Source organism: Homo sapiens, chromosome 15 (assembly GCF_000001405.40).
Source record: "Homo sapiens chromosome 15, GRCh38.p14 Primary Assembly".
NCBI classification, from domain to species: Eukaryota; Metazoa; Chordata; class Mammalia; order Primates; family Hominidae; genus Homo; species Homo sapiens.
In genome coordinates, this window is record NC_000015.10 from 34,422,509 (window position 1) to 34,439,574 (window position 17,066).

A 17,066-nucleotide genomic window follows, 5' to 3' on the forward strand; every position below is an offset into this window, starting at 1 on the left:
TAAATTTTCTCTTTATAGCCAATTCCCAAAGTCAAGTATATTGACTCATAAAAATACCTTCTGGGAAGCATGTGACTGATTTCCAGCTGAGAGGCCCTGCCACTGGATGGTTAAGTTCATAGGCCCCAGAGTCAGAAGGGGGTTGGAATCTCCCCTCTGCCATGCCTGCTACTTGGCCTTGTGTACGCTCGCGCTCGTGCGCTTGTGCGCTCTCTCTCGCTCTCGCTCTCTCTCTCTCATGCTGATTCTGCAGGCATTCTACAGGCCTCCCATGTCCCAGGAGCCAGCTCTGTCCACAGTGCTCTTCCTGCTCCTGCTCCTGGCCAACCCTCCAACCAAGGTGTCTAGGAGCCACAGGGAAGAGCGGGTTCTCTTGCTAGTTGCTCTTCCACTAGGCTGTGACACGCTGGCCGAGCTCCGCCTCCACCGGCTCTGAAGACAGCACAGACAACTGTTCCACCTCTTCCACTTCCACTGAGCAGAGGAACTGCGTCTGAATGAAGCCAGAAATGGGGCATTTGGGGACCGCAACAGAGAACGGATGCCTAGCAGATGGGAAGACGACAAACTAACAAACACCCAGGCCTTGGACCCACGCCTCCCGGTAGGCTCCCTCTCCTCTCCCTCTCCCCTCCATCACACTTCGAACCTTCCTGGGCCTGGATCACCTTCCTGGAAAGCTGACCACCCCCATGCCTCTGGGCGCCACTCCCCTGCCCTACCACCACAGGGCAACATGGGGCCACATCACGCCACCCTGCAGCTCCTGTTGGAAGAGGCTGAATTCCTGGCAACACCCACCCATCAGTCCCAAGCCCCGAGCATCAGTACCTTCATGCAAAAGGCACTAGGTTGGCTGCTTTATCTCATAAGATGAGAAAATGATGCCCATCACCATAAACACATTGTTAGCTGGTATTGATAGCTGTTAACACCCTGAACAAAGACTAAATGAAAATGATGGAAACTAGTGTAAAAAGTCTATGATGTGCAAAATAACAAAATCTAACCTAGCAGTAGCCACTCCCTACCACTTGTCACAAGGAAGCACGAGGAACTCACAGCAACTGGCAGCTCCTGCAGGGCGGACACTGCAAGGTCAACGCTAGAACATAAATGACAGGGAACAACTGAGGATGACCCTGAGCTTCACAGACTCCAGGGCCTCCCCTGGGGCCATGGGTCCCAGTGGAAATTTGGTGGCACGGGCAGCACCTCCTGGCACAGTCAGGGTGGGGGCTCCCCTCAACCAGTTTGGTCCACCTCCATGGACCCTTTGGCCACTGAGTCACACATGCTGGCCCCACCACCTGCTTTGAGAACCAGGGCTGTGCCCTACCCTCTTCTCCCTACCCCCTCATCTGCCTGTGCACCCAGGGGGCCACCACCACTGCCTGGGGGTCCTCACGTTTGGAGGAAGCAGCTGAGGCTACCAGCGGCTGCCAGCTTGCTGGCATGGGTCCCAGACATTGCCACCACCACAGCCACTGATAGCACCTGAGGAGACCCTCTGAGCCCCCTGCCTGAGGCCAAGCAGCAGAGAAAGCCACATCCTCTAAGGCCCCCATGGGTGAGTACCCATGTGACAGCCCCCGCCAGACCACTGCCCTTGCCTGGAGAAACCACTCCCTAAGACCCCTCTCCTCCAGCTTGCCCAGCCACACAGGGAAAAAAACTCACTTAAACTGTCCACCGGCCTGCTTCCACTCTGTGACACAGCGGCTGCCCTGGGGACTGCTGAGCTACAGGGACCCCCAGTCAAAGAGCCAACCCACTGACCATGAAGCAGAAAGGCCCTCCTGAGGAGGGCCCCAGGGATCGCAGAGTGGACTAGTATCAAACACCCCTCCACGATGGACCCCATAACAAAAGGCATAAATAACAAAAAAGAAAGGTCGACGATGGCAAATGATTCTCCAATAAAAAAATACGAGAGGAAGAATGACAAACCATTTACATCACCAGAGAGACTGAAGCAAGGTGGGCAGGCAGTCCACAAATTTAAAAGGCAACAACTTTTCTACAGACCAGCCATGATCAGCTAGAAAACAAGGCAAGAGGAGGGGATGATCCCAGTGACAACAGCAGCAGAAGTGAGAGACGCACAAACATGCATGAATAAAGCAATGAAGCTCCAGTGATGGAGGCAAAGGACTTTTTACATAAATCAAAATCTGGATGAGAAGAAAATACAAAAGCTCTCTCCTCTCCCCACCCCCAACCCCCACCATAAAACCCACAGAGCAACCTTAATCAAAATCCCAATCAGAATATGGGATGAATTTAGTTTATTCTAAAGTTTATCTAGCGGCCGGGTAGGGTGGCTCATGCCTGTAATCCCAGAACTTTGGGAGGCCAAGGCAAGAGGATCACTTAAGCTCAGCAGTTCAAGACCAGCCTGGGAAACTTGGAAAAACCCCACCTCTACAAAAAACACAAAAATTAGCCAGGCGTGGTGGACCCCGCTACTTGGGAGGCTGAGGTGGGAGGATCACTTGAGACCAGGAAGTCAAGGCTGCAATGAGCCGTGTTCGCACCGCTGCAATCCAGCCTGGGTGACAAAGTAAGACAGTCTCAAAAAATAAATAAAATAAATAAAATAAGGCTTATCTATTCAAAGGAATATAGGAGAAAGGTTGGCGGAGAATGAAAAAAGAAGAGGAATGAAGAGGTAATGGCCCTTTAAGATAACTAAGTCTTACCAAAAGCCACCGTAACTTACACGGTAGATAGTGGCACAACAATAAAGCAGTAAATTAGAATGGAGAATCCAGAAACACAGGAGAAACACTCAGAACACAGCAGCTACTTAACCCATGACAAACCTGCCAAAACAGAGAGGTCAAAGTGGCTGACTAGGAAATTAGGTTGGAATCCTATAAAAAAAAAAAAACTACATCCACAAATCACACCGTATCTAAAATACATTTTAGATCAAAGAAGAGATGTAAATGTAAAAAAATCGAGACTATCAAGTATTAGCAGAATATGCAGGAGGGTGGTTATATACATTAGGGTACAGAAACCCATTCTCTAAGTAAGATACAAAATTCAGGAGTAATTAAAGCAAGCTTGATAGTTTTAACAATGTAAAATTTCCAAATTTTTACATTGCCAGAGATGTCTTTAAACAAATTCAAAGGACAAGTGGCATCTGAGAGAAAATATCCGCAATATATATAGAAAATGAGGAATAACCCTGTGTACCAAGAACACCTAGAAATCAACAAGGAAAAGCTTCACAAATCAAGAGAAAAACAGGCAAGGATGAAAAAGAGAATTAGAAAGAGAAATTCAAATTAGTAGTAAGCACAGAAGAAACAGCTTCTTATAATTCACAATTTTTACAAACACAAAATGAAATAAGCTATCACTTTACACCCACTTGACTGAATGAAACACAAAGACTGATCATGTCCAGAGAGCGTCGATGTCCAGAGAGTGTCGATGTCCAGAGAGTGTCAGTGGGGACACCGCTGCCCCACACACTAGCATCATTTAGAATGGTCACCACCTGTCAAGAGAGCAATCTGGCAATATCTGTTGACACTCTGAATGCCCAAACCATTCAGCCCCGCAAGTCCACTTCTAGGAATCTATGCTACGAAAACAACCCCATGCAGATGCAAGGGTTTAATGTACGAGACTCCACCTGTCAGCATTCTCCGTGAGTGTGAAAAACGGAACAACCCAAAAGTTCAATAAATAAACAGTCACATATTATGCAAGCGTCAGAATAACGCTGCTTGCGCAAAGGACAAGGGACCATCTCTAAGACACACAGCTGGTGAGCGGATCGAACTGCAAATCTTATTTACAGTAGGATCCCACTTTGTTGAAAAATACTTTTAAAATATGTATGTATTTAAAAGACAAGTAAAATACGTCCACAGACAGAAAAAGAAAACGGGAGGAATCGCCACCAAACTGTGAACAATGATTATCTTTGTGGGCACTGAATGGGGCAGTGGTGAAGTTAGGGGGAAGCTTTCATTTTCTATTCTACATGATGCATTTCTGTAAAGTTCTAATCTTTATAATTAGTACATTTGAATTTCATAATCAGAAACAGATATTTAAAGGATCTCAAGATCTATGTTATATAGCTCTATCATATGTTAGGCGCCACCCCCGTTGATGGAGCCAGGGTCCTTCTCAACTCCAAATTCCACTGCCAGAAAAATGGCACCTTTCTTCTCCAGAGATACAAGATAATTGCGAGAAGGCAAAATTTTTTTAAAACAGAGACATCAAGCCAGGTACAGTGGCATGTACCTGTAGTCCCAGCTACTCAGGAGACCGAGGCAGGAGGATTGCCTGAGCCCAGGAGTTCAAGTCCAGCCTAGAGACAACATAGCAACACCTCCATCTCAAAACGCAAAACAAAAACTACAGATGGCAGATCTATTTAATGATTAGCTCTGGTGGGGAGCACTGCCCCTCAGACCTTGACCTACCCAAGCAGCCTCTAGTTGTTAAAGACTTCTCAGTATTGGAGAATAAAACAAAATAGACAAGCACTTTAAAATTCACCAGAAGTTAGGCCGGGCACGGTGGCTCACGCCTGTAATTGCAGCACTTTGGGAGGCTGAAGCAGGCAGATCACGAGATCAGGAGATCAAGACCATCCTGGCTAACACGGTGAAACCTCGTCTGTACTAAAAATACAAAAGTTAGCCGGGAGTGGTGGCGGGCGCCTGTAGTCCCAGCTACTCGGGAAGCTGAGGAAGGAGAATGGCGTGAACCCAGGAGGTGGAGCTTACAGTAAGCCGAGATTGTGCCACTGCACTCCAGCCTGGGTGACAGAGTGAGACTCCGTCACAAAAAAAAAAAAAAAAAAAAAATTCACCAGAAGTTCCCAAGGAATTTGCTTCCACACATAGAAAATAATCGAGTCCGTTTTTTCTGAAAACTTGCTTTAAAGTCCAATTGTGGGGATTTGATGTAGATGGTTCCATTTTAACTTCTTCAGCCAGAGGAAATCTAAAAATTCTTCCTTCCAGCTCAACAGAGCAAATCCACCTACTGCTCTGCAAAAGGAGGACAAAGATCCTCCTGGGGCCGCAGAATTCAGCAGCTTTTCCTTGGATTCCTAGGACAACCAACAGCTGTGGGACACTAGGCCAAGCTTCAAAAGGCAGCCTGCCAGCCATCGGACTCCCAGGCACCTGTGGAGTCCTAGGCGGTTGAGGAACTGGGGGAGGGCTTGGTTTCAACCTATTTGCCAAATCACCAGCAAAACAAGACATGTTCAAAAGAAACAAGTGCACATAAATAAGCCAGGGCTCTACTCCCCAGCCCATCAGGTCACCGGCCCAGCCCCTCAGTGTGCTGGTGAGCAGGACAATCAGAAAAGGCCTCTCTTCCTGGAATAACTAACAGTCTCTCACCATCCCCACTCCCACTGCCCGATGTGTCATGGGAAGTCTCTGAAATTCAGGTTTGGGAAATCAGTTGACATGAACTACAGCATAATATTAGATGTCTGATTAAAATCATCAAGATGATACAAAGGTCTAATCGCAGAGGTGCTCTCCACTCCCAACCCCCACATCAAATGGAGCTTTCTCTCCTTCAAATCAGACTTCTTTTTTTTTTTTTGAGAGAGAGAAGTTCTCACTCTGTCACCCAGGGGAGGGCAGTGACACCCTCACAACTCACTGCAGCCTCAACCTCCTGGGCTTAAGCGATCCTCCCACCTCAGCCTCCCAAGTAGCTAGGACCACACCCGTGAGCCACCACATCTGGCTAATTTTTCTATTTTTTTGTAGAGGTGAGGTCTCCCTGTGTTGCCCAGGCTGATCTCAAACTCCTGGGCTTAAGCGATCCTCCCTCCTCAGCCTCACAAAGTGCTGGGATTACAGCATGAACCACCGTGCCCAGCCTTCAAATCACATTTCTAAGGAGCCTAACAAGCAGCAGGCCTTTCCAGTTACAGCGCATGGAAGTAACAAAGGCAGCCTCAGCCAGCATCCAGCGCAGTCCCAGCAGACAGGGATAATGAAGCGGACGTGGGCCTCACGGGAGGGAATACTGTCCCCCACCTCCACACCATGCTAGTGAGAAAAACAGACTGCCTGCAGCTCCAAAACATACAGCAACTTACCTATCAAACAGGGACCTCTGACGCTTCACATTATCACGTAAGAAATGTTTCTTGCCCAGCAGCCCCCAGAGGATGAACAGCTCCCTCCACCTGAAAGGGGAAGAGGGCCCAAGCTGCAGGCGCCCTGGCCTATCGAGGCCGTGGACAGGAGGCACCCGAATGTCTCCCCAGACCCCACCCTGCTGCAGAGGCCTCTGCAGCCCATCACCCTGCAGCGCTGCTGTTCCCGCTGCTTCTTGGAGAACAGGGGCAATTTAATCTACAAATCCTGTAAATCCTTGTTAAAAAAAAAAAAAAAAAAAAAGAAGGGTAAAATAAAACGTCTGCACTAGCAAGGCTGGGACTTGGCATCAGCTGCCACCTCCTACAGAACCCAGTGGGGAGTGGGCTCCAGAGCCTCCCCGTGATGCTGGCAGTGCCTCGGCCAGACACCTGCCCCCGCCACCCTCCTGCGTCCTCACTGCACCCCTCCCCACCCCATGTCACATCTTCTGCTCATACCTCCCCACACCCTCCTCTCGCCTCTGGATGCACCTCTCAACACGCCCCTGACCGCGTCTTCCTCCCATGCTCTGAACTGTCCACTAGGGAAGCCAGCTGCAGAAATCACTCTCCTAGAATTCACTTGGTAAAATATGTGTTGTTATTGGCCCACCTACTTTGCTCCCAACCCACAGCAAGGGCTCTCCAGGGCTACCAAGCCCCTAATGGTCAGGAACTGCCCCCCAACCCCCATCTCCAGCTCTGACCTACACAAACTACATAATCCTGCTGCCAAAAACTTGGCCCTCCCTATGCCCAGGGTGCCACACTCCAGGCTGGCCCTTCTGCCGAGAGGGCTCTTCTGGCCTGGGCTCTGAACGGGCAAACCCACCCACTCTTCTAGGATGGGGTCCATGATCCACCCCAACCTACCGTGGGGCTCTCACATCTTCCAGACTGTGCCTCTCTAGGAGGGCCTTGGACCCAGAGCCAGAATGGGGCTCTGATGCCACTGCACATTCTCCAGCAACCCCTTCCATGCCCTTCCTCCTGATCCCACCCAGCTCTAAACTGGGAACAAGAAAGCTGGAATATAGTAGCTTCTCAGAAAATACCTACTGAGTACACGGCTGGATAGATGGACAGTGCTCCAGGCAAAGGGACTCGGGGGTAAGAAAAGTGAAGGGTACCTGCTCCCGGTTGTACCACTGCAGAGTCCTTGAGTGTCAAAGGACTGAGAGGTGAATGACGGGCAAGGTGAGACCTACCAGGTTAGTGTCCCGCACCCCTTTGTTTCCACTATTAGATTAAGCCACCCTATGTGACAGATAAAAGGAGCAACACATACAAGGAGTTAGGCCGGGGTTGCCAAAGTGAGGAGTGGGAATGCTGCCAGTCCAGGGGTCCCCCACGGCAGCTCCCCAAATGAAACCAAGACAAGTTGGAGATGAGGCTGCCTCTAGGTGTATCAAATCAACTGAAGTAGCACCAGTCCTCAGTGCTGATTAAGCACAGGCACGCCTGTGATCAAGAAGAAAACCATTACTTAATAAAATGCAGTTAATTTAGAAGCTGAAATCTGTGAAAGCTCAAGGGAAAGACACAATCAGGAGTTCTTGGTCTGGAGGGGCTTCTGCTCTCAAAGCTTCCAACCCAACACAGCACAAAGACGTCTTCCCCAACAACCGCACATCCCACCTGCAAAACGATGACACGCTCCTCTCCAGGTACCTGAACCTTAGGACTCAAAGGGTAGAGAAAGTTCACAGGCAGAATCTTCACAATACATGCACAAAACAAAGGCACTTCTAGTAGGAGCTGTGGGTCAGGAAAATCTCGACTTCACCCAATGCCATTCCCGAGACAATCAGCCATCAATCTGACCCACTCAGTCCTGCCTCAGGGGCTCAGAATCTAGCAGTCAGGCCAGGTGGGAAGTGCAGGGACCTGTGGCCAAAATCGGCCCACTCATCACTCAGCTGACAGCTTTCACGCGTACTAGCCAGAATCAGTTAGAGGCTGGAGGTAGTGCCAGGTGTCTGAAACCCAGCAGGCAGGTTGGTAAAACACTCACACATCCTAACCCTGGTGACTGCACTGACTGCGTGCTTTACTGTAGCAGAACAGTTGCACACATCTCATCTCCTCCATCCATAGTAACTCAGTGGCTGGTGAGGAATGGGACACAGACCTCCACGTGCCCTTCTCGGGATGAGTCAAGACAAACTCTGAGCAGTGACGCTCTACAGCTGGCTCACACGTGGAGGCAGAGCCTGGCTTCCCAGAGCTTCCAGTTCCTAACACACGCCTGGCCCCACTGCACCACACCCGTGACAGCTGCCACCAGCTCCGGATAATTCAGACAGATGCTAGAGCACATGGCTCACTTATTACACCAAAAGACTGAGAAACAGAAACTGTGTTTTAATTGTACAATGCACACACTTGCTTCCAGAGAGACCTGAGAAATCCATCATCCCTAAATGCATGCGGTTACTCAACTAGTGGCTTTACTATTTTTGAAACAATGGATTTTTCCAAGACAGTTGATAATCAAACCAACTGCGGGAAACCATAAACGATACTTGTTTATTAAATTAAGAACAGATACAACAGTTCAGAGGAATTCATATTTAGAGCTGCCTTGCTGGAGAATCAATTCCAGGAATGCCAAACCAACCAAATGAAAAAAAATTATATATATATATATATATACATATATATATATATATATATATATATATATATATCTCACACACACACACTCGTGTCACTTAACGACAGGCATATATATGTATATATATATCACACACACACTCATGCGTCACTTAACGACAGGGATGTATTCTGAGAAATTTATCATTAGGCAATTTCATCATTGTGAGAACATCATAGAACATACGTTATACAAACCTACTACAACACACTAGGTTATAGGGTACAGTCTACTGCTCCTAGGCTGCAAAGCTAGGCAGCATGTTACTGTGCTGAATGTGTGTATCTAAACATAGAAAAGGCACAACGTTAAAATATGCTATAAAAGATAAAACATGGTGCCCCTGTCTAGGGCACTTTCCATGAATGGACCTTCCATGAATGGAAGTTGCTCGGGTGAGTCAGTCCGTACACTAGTGCAGACTTTATAGACATTGTATACCTAGGCTACATTTTAAAAAAATATATTTTTATTTTTTAAATATTTTATATATTTTTTTAAAATAAAGTAACTGCACTACAACTTTACCACAATGTCACTAGGCAATAGGAATTTTTGAGCCCCATGATATTCTTATGGGACCTCTGTCATATATGCTATCATTCACCAAAACAATGTCATGTGATGCATGACAGTACATATGTATCTCAACTGAAAATCCTAAATGTCAATAGTGTTCTCCGACTCACTATTTACTAATAAGAGTTTCCTCAGAACTGTCTTTGCCTGAGAGTTTCACGACCAAACGTCTCTCTGCACAGTTGATTCTAGGGACAAGAAGTGCTAAGAATCCATGTTGGCTTCAAGTGCAAAATGGAAAACACCTTAGTGTCCCACCAACCACGTCAGCCACCTTCCTGGAGGGCTAGCTCCCAGACCCTTTTCCCATCGCTGTATAGGGCCCACGTCATCTGTGGCATTTCCACGACTCTCCGATGCCAGCCATCAGTCTCTCGGCTTGTGTTGAAAATTAGCACCTTTACGTGCCCACCAGTGGTCATGAGTCCTAGTCATGCCCACCCTGTTAAAAACAAATCTGATACAAAATGGGCCCCAGCAGGAGACAGGGACAGAACACGGACCTCACACTCTCTCCAGCTCAGACTCAAAGGCCAGCACTGCCCCATCACAGCCGAGTGCTCTTAGGCAACCCACAGCTCAGCTACCTGTCCCCAGCCTCCTCGTTGCAAAGTTAAGACAAGACCTGCCTTCTAGATTTGTCGGGAAATTATTTAAAATGATAAACAAAGAGGGATGGAACTCAACACACAGAATTGCCCGATGATGTGTGTTTCATTCCAGTGGTTTCGCCATCAAAACCATCTTTAAATGTTGGAGTGTTTCCGTTTCCAGACAACTAGAGATGAAAATATTTTCACAGTCACTCAACGCAGGTACCTCAACCACGTATTTTTTCTCTTAATTTTGATCCTTGAAACACAAAACAACAGATGCACCACCTTACATTAAAACAGCCCTTTAGAGTTTAGAGTTTATGACAGGCCGCCTCTGCATTCTCTCACTAGGCCGTAGCTGTAACTCACAAACCTGACCCTTAAAACTCCCAGGACAATAAGAGAAGCCACACCATGGAGCTCTTGCTGTCATAAAATATCTCGCATCAGTTCAATATTGCATCTCGTCTGTGCCTCAAAACAACCACAGGCAAGAGGCCTCACGCGGGTATTGCAGATGCTGAGAAAGACTCTCAAGCCAGAAGACTGGTCCTGGGCCCCAGGGATTAGTGGCAGGGCCAGGCTGGAACTGAGCTCCTGTTACTCCAAATCCCATCCTCTTTTCTGACCTCCCAGTCCCTTTCTCATAAAACCAAAGCATCTTCTCCAACCAGGCCAGGACACACGCAGGAGAGAGTCAGGCAGGAGGAGGCTTCTGGAAGGGAAAGCAGAGTGGCTGAGAGCCCTGGGACAGAGTCTGACATTAGGTACAGGACAAGTTTGGAAAGATCCAGATGGAGCGGGAAGGGAATCTGGGCGTGGGGGTGCCTCCTTCCAAAGTGCATCCACATCCGAGGTGACTGCAGGGAGACGCAGCGCTGACTTTGGCAGCAGGGACCACCCGGGTGCAGAGAACCCAAACAACTGAAAATCCAAAAAGGAATCTCAGTGCACAGTAAGAAAGCTCATTCTTTGGGCTGGTTACCTTCCCAAACACGTTCTCCTCTGGCCTATGTGAAACCGACGTTGCACTGTACAACTCTGAAGCTCTTTCTTGACTGCCCACTGAATGAGGGTCTGTGCTACATTCCAGGAGGATCCAAATGTGAACACAGCTAGGTTCCAGCTCTGGGACTCGGGAAAAGGAGGCACAGGCAGCAGGACATGTGCTGCAAGGAGACTACTGCTCCCGTGTTTCATTCACTCACTCATCCAACAACAGCACTAAGGCTCTGCTGTGTGCCAGGCACTTTTCTAGCTACTGGGGATCCAGAGGTGAACAAAGTCTTTTACAATTGAGTGGTAAGAGACTGACAATAAACAAACAAGTATATAAATAACACACTGAATGTTGAGTACTAAGGAGAAACACAAAGCAAGGTTAACAAGAGAAGGGGAAGTAACGCTAATTTATGTAGGGCTGTCAGGGAGCCGGCAATAAGTGAGGGGCCGGCCAGGTGGGCATCTGGGGGTGGCTGATGCCAAGGGGGTGGGAACAGCAGGTGCAAAGGCCTGGAGGCAAGAGTGGCCTGGCAAATCCGAGGACCAAGGGATAAGATGAAAGAGCCTACATTCAGTTAGGATCTCCGGGATGGACATGGGCCAAGATGACAGGTGGGGATGGGGTGGGGACAACCCAGGGCAGATCTGGGCAATGAGCCTGTCTGCCTGGAGCCAGGAGAGCCTGGAGGGGCCATTCTTGGGAGCGAGCGGGGGAACTTGAGAAAAATCAGGCCGAGACACATGGATGTGGAGGGAGCACTGGAAAGCCACTGAAGGCCTGGGCAATGGTGACACACCTGGCCTGGGCCAACTTGCAGACTCAGGGGTACCCCACAGCCCAACCTGGGAAACCTCACAGCCGGCACAGAAATCATAAAGCACACAGCAATGGCACCCCACCAGTACGCAGGGTTCCACATAGAGAGCCTGGCTGCATGATCTTGAGGTCACCTAACTCCCGGGCCTCCCTTGTGTGTCTGGACAGGGAGAGAGGGGAGGATTGGCTTCAGGAGAGGCGAGAAACGACAGTGCCCATGACAGCTGACTCAGCCTGTGCCAGCAGGCTGCTCTGAGACATGAGCTGGACCCAACCCAGGCGGTGGGCAGCAGGGGGGTGGGGAGGAACTCTGGGAAAGGAAGGAGCCAGAGAAGTCTCCCTGTGGGCGCTCGGGCCAACCACCACCCAAGGGAACAATGAGCACCCCCAGCCCCCGATGGGCACACAGGCTGCCTCCTGGTGAGCAAGCGTCTCAAACCTGACCTACATCTGGGAGGCCTGCCTGGTCACCAGGGACTACCTTACACCCTACCTGTGCCTCCACGTCCCCAGTGCTCACGGCCACCTGGCAAGGGTGAGGAACTGAGACTGCGTTGAGGACACACAGCCTGTGAGTGGTACAGCCAGGGCCGCTGCCCAGGCCCAGAGCTCTCTCCGTTTCTCTAAGGACCAGGCTGCAAGGCAGGGCATGTGATCTCTGCCGAAGACATTCAAGCCACCCAGTGATGTGTGCTGGGCCTCGATCCCCACCGACCGCCAGTCCTCTCCTCCCCTGGACAGTAAAGGTTTCTCCAAGACTTCAGACGACGGTGTCACCTGAGGCCCTCACCTATTAAGTCACCGGGGCAGGTATGCATGGCAGAGGACACGGAGGAGTGCCGGAGAGGAGCTGAGGCCTGGAGGGGGCCTCTGCAGCCAGGCTCAACCCCCACTCTCCCCACTCCAACAGCCCTCACTGCAGCCACCGCGGCCCAATCCAAACAAAGCCCAGCCTGATGCCAATCTCACCATCAACTGTTTTTCCTCTGACTTCCTCAGTTTTGTCTAGGAAAAATCAAAGTGTCTTATCCCATCTCTAAGCTTCCAGGGGTGTGATCAGTGTCTTTTACAATTACCTTTTACTTTTATCCAGCATTTCTTAGCTCGGTTGGCAAACTGGATATTTATGCACCTCCATTTCACAATCCATCTCCACCGATTATTCCTGTAAAACATTTTTTTTTTTAAAGTTTAGAGTTACTTAAGAAGGTTATGTAAACAAGTTAACCAGCAAGCCACAACTTGGGTCTGCGGTGTCAGAGAAAACATGCAAGGTGCAAGAGAATGAGGAGCTGATGGTCACCAGCTTTACCTCCTTCCAGCACCCACTCCTGCTCACACACACTCACACCCCGTGGGACTCAGCCTGCAGCTTCTCCCAGCCCAAGAGCCAGACAGTGGGGAGGAGCACAGACCACACTTCCTAACAAATGAGAGGGAAGACTTCGTGCCCCATTGCTACTGCCATCACCCAGTCCCAGCCCAGAGAGGGAGCCCACTCCAAGGGCCCCCCTGCCAGTACTGCTAGAGCCCACCGAGGGCTGCCAGCACACAGCTACGAGCTCCAGCTTTATCTACTCACGCCCTGGACACTGCCCGGAGCCCCAGCAGGTTCCACGTGTCCTTGTCACCCCAGCCCTCCTGCCCCGCGGATCCTAAGCTCAGGAGACCCTCTCCAGCCCAGGCTGTGGGGGAAGGCAGCCCCCACGGTCACCCAGGAATCAGCGCAGAGTGCAGGGCATCCTGGACTCCCCGGACTGGGAAACCCAGTTCCTGTCCCCCTGCGTAGTGGCCACACCTCTGGGAGGGGAGAAACCCCTGCCTCACCTCACTGGAGGGACCCTGACCCAGAGGCCTGAGAAAAAGCCACCGGCAGGCTCCTGGCACCTGCCAACCTGCACCTTAGGAAAACTTGTCCCACTTCAACCTGCAAAGCTCTCAGGTCATTACTTCTAAAACCACTGTCCTTTCTGAAACAGGAAGGAAAATAGAAAAACAAACAAAAACAAAGAGGCACAGAAGGCTGAAGACGCCAGAGGCAGTTTAGCCCAAAAACAAAGTGCCAGACACAAGATGCCAAGTTTGGGGCGCTTCCTCCACCGCATGCCTGTTTAGGAGCTGACTGCACTCAACCACAGATTTACGTCTGGTGCCTGCCAGGTCGTTATCTGAAGAGATCTGAAAAAGTAAGCCTTTCTTCTGCCAGTAAATACTAAGTTAAGACTAGCAGGCCCCTCTAAGGCTCTGCTCTCCACTGGGGTGCTGCAGGACAGGCCCCTCCGCGGGCGTTCCCCGCACCCTCCCTCCGCGTCGGCCCGGAGAAAAGGAAGTTCGCCCCTAGCCTGGGCTTACCAAGGCCCGCCGCCCGACCCATGGAGCCCTGCTTGGGGACCGGGGGCCTCGATGTTCTCCTTCACCATCTGCGGCCAGATCTCCCTCCAGCAGCCTTGCCAGGCAGTGCCTGGCGTGGAGAAGGGGCCCTGCAGAGGCGCAGGTCCGCACCGTGCCCCCAACCCGGCGCCTGCAGCCCAGGGGCAACAAGGTGTGGGGTTTTTGAGTTTTTCCCTCTGGGCCTTATTATACAGGGAAAGGGAAGGGGCGAAGATCCGGGCTCGAGTTCTCCCAGGGAAGTGAACCCAGAGGCGATCCCAAACTCAGTAGTTGCCGCCCGGCACGGGGACTTGATGCCGGCGCCAAGCCGGGCAGCGGAACGCACCAGCGGCCCGACCAGCCCGGCGAGACGCGAGCGGGCGGCCCCGCCAGACAGCGCCACTTGCCGGCGCCGAGAGTGGCCCCTCGCCGCGGTGAGCCCCTCCCGGGATGCGAAAGCCATCGCCTAGTCCCCGCCGCACCCGCCCGCCCATCGTGGGAGGAGGATGGGCCGGTCCGAGAGGCGTAAGGCCGCCGGGCTGCACCCCTAGATCCCAGCGGCGGCCTCCCCGCAGCCCCGCCGAGTCCGGGGGGCAGCGCTCGGGAGCTCTTGGCCCGCAGCTTACGCGCCGCCCCCCACGCGTCCGGGTCCCCGCGGCGCCGCGGGCGGCCCAAGGCTGCCGCCGCCAGCGAGTCAGGCAGCCGAGGTTCCCCAGCTTACCTGGCCAGGGCGCGGGGCTGCCCCGGTCCGCCGCCGTCCTCGCCGCGCCGCCGTCCTCGCCGCGCCGCCGTCCTCGCCGCGCCGCCGTCCTCGCCGCGCCGCCGTCCTCGCCGCGCCGCCGTCCTCGCCGCGCCGCCGTCCTCGCCGCGCCGCCGTCCTCGCCGCGCCGCCGTCCTCGCCGCGCCGCCGTCCTCGCCGCGCCGCCGTCCTCGCCGCGCCGCCGTCCTCGCCGCGCCGCCGTCCTCGCCGCGCCGCCGTCCTCGCCGCGCCGCCGTCCTCGCCGCGCCGCCGTCCTCGCCGCGCCGCCGTCCTCGCCGCGCCGCTGCCGGGTCTCTCCCGGGGGCTGAGCTCCCGCAGAGCTCGCGCCTAGCCGCACACCTCGACTGCTGATTAGCCCGACAGCTGAATAGCGGCGGGAGCCTACCGCGAGCGGAGTACGGAAAGCCCGCAGGGCCGCGCCACATGGCGCACGCGCACTGAGCTGCATACCTAGGTGACAAACGTGCACGTTTTGCACGTGTATCCCAGAACTTAAAGCATGACAAAATTTTTTTTTAAAAAACCCTGATGCCATTATTAGGAACAATTTGAATAGATCAGTCACAACCTATATGCTGGCTTCTGGTGTCTCAATTTGTCCTGGGAAAACTGTTGTAAAGCAATAGTATGTCAGTCCTTATATACTTATCCATCTCCAATCTGGAAAGACAAGGCTTATATGTTTCCTTTTTAGTCCCCTAATTTCTCTTTATGACACAAATCCAGTTGGCAGTATTAAAGATGGGGCTGATTCTCCTTTACTTATCTGGAATATGCTACCATTCCAGATAAGTAATAGTAAAATGGCCATTTCCTCTTGCTAATCAAATGTCGTTTTTGAACACAAAAGCCACTGGGTTTGGAGTATGAAACATAAACATAAAACATATCATACACTATCTGTGACGTTTTCATAAACTCACATGATCCTTTTATATTTTTCTCTTATATAAAACGAAATACTTTCCATTAAAAATTGAGATATTTAAATGAGAAAATGCTTGCCAATGTTATTAAAATATAAAATTTTATTATTTATTCAAAGAAAATGGTCACTTTTGGTTTGTGCTAAAAAATAACAGTAACAGTAGAAGCCTGCTTTAAAATATTTTAAGTGTGCGATATCATATTACTTCTCATTTACTCTTTGCGTTTCTAGAGAGCCAAGTTTATTTTTTTCTCAATTCAGTTTAAAATCAGAGGGAACAAAATTTGAAACGTGACATAATATCAAGGTTAACATGCTAGCTATGTAATAACTGTAAAATTTGGCCACAAATGCATTTGCTTTGAGAAAAATGATCATGTGAAATTCCTAAATATTTGGGCCATATGGAAGATGATATCAGAAGAATAATATATTCTCTGTATGTCAAAGGAGGAGGATAATAAAAACCGTAGTTATTAGGTTAGTACAAAAACAATTACAGTATTCGCCATTGCCAAAAATTGCAATTGCTTTTGCACCAAGGTAGTAATAAAAGTATGGTTGAGTTTCTGTAGAATTCCGGCAAAGGATGAGCATCCTTAATCTGAAATCCAAAACTCTCCCAAATTCGAAATTTTTTGGGTGCCCATATGATGCCTCAAGTACAAAATTCTACACCTGACCTCATGCAATGTATCATAGCCAAAGCACAGGTACACAACACATAGTTTATTCAGTGCTTTCAAGAGAAAATTAAAATTAACATGAGGCTACATGTAAATAAATTTTGTGTTTAGACTTGGGTCCCATCCCAAGATCTCTCATTATGTATATGCAAATACTCCAAAATTCAAAAAAATTCACAATTTTGGATTTTTCAGGTCCCAAGCATTTTGATTAAGAGATACTCAACCTGTCCCTGTTTGGAAGCAGTTCCCTCTAGATAGATTAAACTGGCCTAACAAAAGGTAGTATCTGTTGCTGGAGTTGAGAAAGAATAAATATTTACATACAAAAGTGAGGGCAAAAGAAGACTACAAAAACATTCTTATTGAAATTAAATAAAATTATGCCCTTTTCTCTGTGTAGCTCTTTGGCCAGTTTGAACAATGAATACCAAGAGCCAATGACTGAATTCTAATTATATATTTGGTGATTATGCTCAGACAGACTTGAAGAGAGAAATTTCATAAGCATCATTTTGGCATTT

At 50.0% G+C, this 17,066-nt stretch overlaps 1 protein-coding gene across 7 annotated transcripts in view, besides 2 other annotated features; it reads right to left on the reverse strand.

The window, feature by feature from the left end:
- The window catches only part of GOLGA8A (golgin A8 family member A), a 58,741-nt gene extending 43,441 nt beyond the window's left edge, over positions 1 to 15,300 (reverse strand). For 4 of the 7 annotated variants that reach the window (NR_027409.2, NM_001386895.1, NM_001368071.2 and 1 more), the window contains exons 1-2: positions 14,890 to 15,300; positions 12,875 to 12,963 (exon numbers count right to left, since the gene is read on the reverse strand). The gene's annotated coding sequence lies outside the window, so the exon portion shown is untranslated. The remainder of the gene's footprint in view (positions 1 to 12,874; positions 12,964 to 14,889) is intronic. The other 3 variants (NR_164784.1, NM_001368072.2, NM_001386893.1) reach the window with 1 other exon arrangement.
- Positions 14,694 to 14,903: a silencer, noted in NCBI's record as "silent region_6285". NCBI's record gives its function as "represses an Ori minimal core promoter by ATAC-STARR-seq in GM12878 lymphoblastoid cells {active_cell/tissue: GM12878}" and the evidence as "EXISTENCE:reporter gene assay evidence [ECO:0000049][PMID:35858748]".
- Positions 15,146 to 15,215: a silencer, noted in NCBI's record as "silent region_6286". NCBI's record gives its function as "represses an Ori minimal core promoter by ATAC-STARR-seq in GM12878 lymphoblastoid cells {active_cell/tissue: GM12878}" and the evidence as "EXISTENCE:reporter gene assay evidence [ECO:0000049][PMID:35858748]".